A 6,137-nucleotide genomic window follows, 5' to 3' on the forward strand; every position below is an offset into this window, starting at 1 on the left:
CAGAGTTGGATCTAGAGCTAGAGACGGAACTGCAGATAGGGATAGTGGTGTAGATAGTAATAAAGGGGGATAGAGACAGTAATCATGATAAAGACAGGTAATAATAGTGTTAGAGATTCTTGATTCCACCTGAAATTTGTTTGGGGGACTTGGGTAATTAGAATTTTACTTAAGTATTCTCAAACATATAAACAATTTTTCTAATACCAAGTATAAGATCAAGGGTTGGTCTCCAAGCATGATGAGGGATTACATACATTTTATTTTATATTTTTATATAAATATGGATCTAATTCTAGACTGTTTTCTGTTGTTTGATCTGTGTCCTTTTTGCCACATGCACATACTGCCGTTCTTATTCTGTTTTTATATACAACTTCATATTCAATTGGTCAAGCTATATTTTTGTTGTCATGCTAACTTTGTATTCTTTCAAATAAGGATTAAAAGCCAGCATGCATAAAAATTGTGTAATGACCTAAATTGAACTAAAGCCATAACACCCTCGGAAGGAAGCATGGGTAAATCTTCATGAACTTTGATTTTACAATAGATTCTTAGATATGACACAAAAAGTATGAGTAACAAAAAATAAATACATAAATTGGATTTCATTTAAAAAGTTCATGCAACAAACGACTTTAAGAAAGTAAAAAGACAACCTATAAGATGAGAGAACATCTTTGCAAATTATGTATTTCATAAGTTTAATATCCAGAATGTATGAAAAAGTCCTACAACTCAAAAACAAAAAGACAAACAACTCAATTTAAAAATATGCAAATGATGGGAATGAGTAATTTCTAGAAAGAAGATATACAAATGAACATTGGCACATAAAATGCAAACCAAAACCACAATAAGACACTACTTCAAACTTACTAGAATGTCTATACTTTAAGAGAAACAAAACAAATGAAAAGTAACAAGTGTTGACAAAGATATAAGAAAATTGGAATCCTCATATATTGCTGCTAAAAATGTTAAGTGGTGCAACTTCTGTAGAAAATATTTTGACAGTTCTTCAAAAACTTAGGCACTGAATAACATATGACCCCAAAATTCCTCTCCTAGGTATATATTAAAAATATATATAAAGATTTAAACAGGTACTTGTACTGAAATGTTCATTGTAGCATTATTCACAATAGCCAAAAGGTGGAAACAACCAGAATGTACATAAACAGATGAATGAATAAACAAATGTGATATATACACACAATGGAATATTATGTAGCAATAAAAAAGAATGAAGTACAGATGCAGTAAGTCCTTATTTAATGTCATGAATAGGTTTTTGGAAATGGCAACTTTAAGTGAAATGATGTAAAACAGATCCTCAAATAACACTGTTTTAGCCAACACTGTTAGATGAGAAAAAAAATGGATATCATTATATGTCACTTGGCTTAAAGTTTCAGTTTCCAAGAATCTATGAATGGACAACATTAAGCAAAGACTTACCACTATACATGTTATGGCATGGATGGACTTTGAAACCTTATGTTGGGTAAAATAAGCCAGACACAAAACAACAAATATTGTATGAATCTATTTATATGAATTATCTAAAATAGACTGATTTAGAGAAACATATAGTAGATTAGAGGTTACTATGGGACTGGGGAGTTACTGCCTAACAAGTATAGCATTTCTGCTTGGATGATGAAAAAGTTTTGGCATGAGATCATGGTGATAGCGGCACAATATTGTTAATATAATTAATGCCACATAATTATACTTAAAAATGGTTAATATGGTGAGCTTTATTATATATGATATACGGTATTATATGTAGCATATTTATAAACTTTATCACAATAAAAATGGAAAGAAATTTAAAACAAGACAAATTTTTATTTTGATTAGGGTTGAATTGAATTTATTATGAGTTGTTTCTGAGAGAATTGTTACAATAAACAATGTATAATAAACAATTATTTCATTTATTTTAGGCACATATACAGTTCTATTATCATTTTGGGTTTTATTTTTTGTTTTTCTTTTTGTTTTTGTTTTACGTATTTTTGGTTTTTTTGAGATGGAGTCTCTCTCTGTGGTCCAGGCTAGAGTGAGGTGACGCGATCTCGGCTCACTGCAACCTCCGCCTCCAGAATTCAAATCATTCTCCTGCCTCAGCCTCCCATGTAGCTGGGATTACAGGTGTGCGCCACCACGTCTGGCCTCTATCATCATTTTGAATGTGACATTTTTCCCATTCTATTTTCCTATTGGTTCTTGCAGTTGCATAAAACATTATTGATTTTTATGTTGTCCTTATATAACTCTTTTTACTTTCAGGTGACTTATACTTAAATGATCATATCATATACAAAAGAAAGTTAAAAAATAAAGGCAAAGATGTAAATAAAGAAATACACCCCAGATTACAATTTGGTCTTTTTTCTCCCCCCGAAATCAAAATTTTGCTTGATTGATATTAACTAAGACCTCAGTTATAAAACAATAGTCTGTAGTGGTACTGGTCTTGGATCTCTTGCTCATTTGAAATACTATTCTCACCTTATCAATCACTTAGCACCCTGTACCTTTTGTTTTTTGTTTTTGCTAATTCTGTCTAGAACACCATATCAGTTTTAGCTAAGTGCTTCCAAAACTCCCTGCTTTAAAATTGTTTGGTTTCTGCCCTTTTTTGGACCTTTCCTTTCCTTTCCTTTCCTTTCCTTTCCTTTCCTTTCCTTTTTCCTTTCCTTTCCTTCCCTTCCCTTTCCTTTCCCTTCCCTCCCTTTCCCTTTCCCTTTCCCTTTCCCTTTCCCTTTCCCTTCCTGCTGAAGGATTACTGGTTAAGGAGACAGTAGAACATGAAAACTTCTTCTCATGTCCAGGGCAATGGCTCAGTAATGTTAAATTCAGCAGCTGCATAGCAACAGCCATTTCCTAAATCCTTTCAGAATCTGAGTGCTCAACTGAAAGTTTATTTAGAGATTGTAAATTCAATCATTTTTACTTCTACCATTTTAACTGTCAAAATGACATGTATATGTTACTGTGTAGCTATATATGTATATATGATTATATATATTCATATACCTATTTAAGATATCATGTTGCATGCATTTTGGATGTGAAATTGGCATTTTCTTAGCTCCCCACTGCTAAAATCAAGTATACAAAATCTTCCTACCTTTCAGTCAAATCCTCTGTCATCATACTGCAATCTATCTATTCCCTCATTTTCCATCATATTATTACTTTTATGGAGAAATGCAACGCTGAGTGTAAATTTCACATTAGAATGTCCAAAACATTGTGTAGAGTAGAAAAAAAAACTATATGAAGTTTAACAGATGTACTGAGAAATGCAAATATTTTGAAGACAATTCAAAATAGCACTTAAATATTTAGTGTAGTACTAGCAGAAACAAATTAATTAGATTTTTTAGAATGTTTTATGTATTCTCCCTTCCCAATAATGGAAATACTGTAGGAAGTCTATTTCTAACTTTCTTATTCTTTGGTGCACAAACGTGTGTGTGTGTGTGTGTGCATGCATATATATATGTGTGTGTGTGTGTGTGTGTACATATATATGAAGGTACATCCACATATAAATGTAGATAAATTAAGTGTGTGTATATGTAAATCTAAGTGTTAATACATGTATAAATTTCTATAAAAATCACAGAAAAAGCTAAGCATAAGCCAAGCATGAGTAGATTTCAAGTGTTTAAGATAGTACCTCAGATTTCTCAAAGTTTTTTTTTTGTCTTTCTTTAGGTGTAAATAAGGTCATTTTTTAAACATTCTCATGGCATTGTTCTAGGCTTTTAAGAAGGAGAGATTGTAAAAATTTGTATTGATGTGAAGGGATTAAGGTATAGTCTGTAGATAATATCATAGATAATTACTTTTGCTGGGATTACATTCTTTTTTATTTAAGTTTCTTGGAAAATATTCTCCTTAATCTTCTCTAGCTTTTTAAAAAATGTTTATTTTAAAAATTTATTTATCACCCAGGTATAGAAATTTTCAATCATTTTACTTCTTCAGTGATGTTTCTGTTGATGCCATGATGCTCCATTGATGACTTGGGTCTAAAATCTCCACTATAGGGGGAAATGTGTATCAGATTTTACATCATCCAGGCAATCTCATATTTGTTAATTTAATATTGGTTATTATTTGCTTTAATTCACTATTATTCACTTGTTGAATACATATGTATTATGTGTCTATTCCATACAAGAGACTTTGTGAGATGTCAGTGAGTTAGAAAATATTCTAGGGATAACATTTTAACTTAAGTAACAGGTGTTGACAAAAATAATATTATGGCTTCATGTTATTGGTTCAAGTCTCTGCAGAGTACAGCGGGAGTGTTGTACATTTCAGCAGAATTTCAGACTGACTATAAAAAGCCCAGTGACTGACTCAAAACCCCACTTCCTAGCTCTACGTAGGAAAAGTCAATCTGGATTAAACCCTAAAATATATTTCTCTTTTCTCGATTATCTTTATATATTTTTAAGTTAAAATTCATGAAAATAGTATTTCTGAAAAAATGGAGAATTTCATTAAAGTATTTTTTTTTTCAAAACCTTTGATCTTTGAGTGCCTTAGCAAAATTCCGTGGACACTTTGATAGACACCATCATTTTAAGTGTGTTTGAGGATTTCTATGGATTGTATTTATTCTATTCCCTAAAACAGACTTTTTAATCTTAACAGCATACACTGATAGGAGAGAAAAGCAAAATCACTCGATCTTTAATTTGTTTGGTCTTCACCCCATAAATGATGGGGTTTAGCATAGGGGGCACTAACACATAGAGACTGCCCACTAGGATGTGAATGTGGTGAGGGATGGTTTTACCTCCAAAGCGATGGGCAAGAAATGAAAAGAATGCTGGGGTATAGAACATAAATATGACACAGATATGAGAGCCGCACGTACTAAGGGCCTTGAACCTGGCAGCCCAGGAAGATATCTGAAACACTGAGTGAAGGATCATTGTGTAGGATATAATGATAAGCACTATATCCAGTCCTGTAGAGAGTAGGGCCACAGTGAGGCCATAAATGATATTGACATTGATATTGCCACAAGCCAATCTGGCAATGTGCTCACAGTAGGAATGAGGAATGATGTTTCTCCCACAATATGTAAGTCGGTATACCAGGAAGATGAACGGACAGCAGATGAAAAAGCTCCTGACCACAGCTGCTATGCCAATCTTCCTGACGGCTGATGAGGTTAAAATGGTGTATCTCAGTGGGTAACAGATGGCCACATAGCGGTCAAATGCCATTGCCAGGAGAATAGCAGATTCTGCCACAAAGATGAAATGTATGAAGAACATCTGAGACACACAACTACCAAAGGATATGTCCATGGAGTGGAACCAGAGGATAGCCAGCACCTTAGGGGCTGCAGCAGTGGCGAGCAGGAAGTCGGCTGAGGCCAGCATGGATAGGAAGAGATACATGGGCTCATGGAGACTGCGCTCAGTCATGATCAGGAAGATCAAGAAGATATTGCCTGCAACAGCCACAATGTACATAAAAGAAAAAGGGATGGAGATCCAGGTATGCAAGCCTTCCAGCCCTGGGATTCCCATCAGGACATACCACACATCCTGGGAATTAGTGTGATTGCGAAAGAAAGGAGCCGTATGTACAGTTTATTCCAGGCCTAGTGCCATTAGTGAAAGACTACAAAGTTGAGGATTTAGAAACACTACCTTAGGCTGAATGAGGTCTCATCAGATTTGTTTTCTTTCCAATGTTTTCTTCTCTGGGAAAGGAGAGTAAAATGGGTTAATAGACCGAATATATAAGTCCTACCAAATAATTAATTTTTTGTACCTTAAAAAATTAGTAGATATTATTTAATAACTGCTTAATATGTGTCATACTACTTTACAAATATTAACTTATTAAATCTTCACAATAACCTATTGAAAAGCCCTTTAAATAACCATTATATAAATACTATTATTTCTACAGATGTAAAAAAAACCCACAGACTTTCAGCCTCTTACCCTAGGCCCTACTGGATTTAAAGTAAGGCAGGATAAATCTGAAAGCTTTGATCTTTACTACCATCCAATGCTGCCTATCAAGGTAAAACTAGATATAAAACGCAGCATCAAATTTTTTACTGATCATATCCCTAA

The 6,137-nt window shown here is 33.6% G+C and overlaps 1 pseudogene across 1 annotated transcript; it reads right to left on the reverse strand.

The window, feature by feature from the left end:
* Positions 1-4,682: 4,682 nt before the first annotated feature.
* OR52Z1P (olfactory receptor family 52 subfamily Z member 1 pseudogene) lies at positions 4,683-5,633 on the reverse strand (annotated as a pseudogene). Its single transcript, NR_172914.1, has one exon. The product of NR_172914.1 is annotated as an olfactory receptor family 52 subfamily Z member 1 pseudogene (transcript).
* Between the last annotated feature and the right edge of the window lie 504 nt (positions 5,634-6,137).

Source organism: Homo sapiens, chromosome 11 (genome assembly GCF_000001405.40).
Source record: "Homo sapiens chromosome 11, GRCh38.p14 Primary Assembly".
In the NCBI taxonomy this organism is placed as follows: domain Eukaryota; kingdom Metazoa; phylum Chordata; class Mammalia; order Primates; family Hominidae; genus Homo; species Homo sapiens.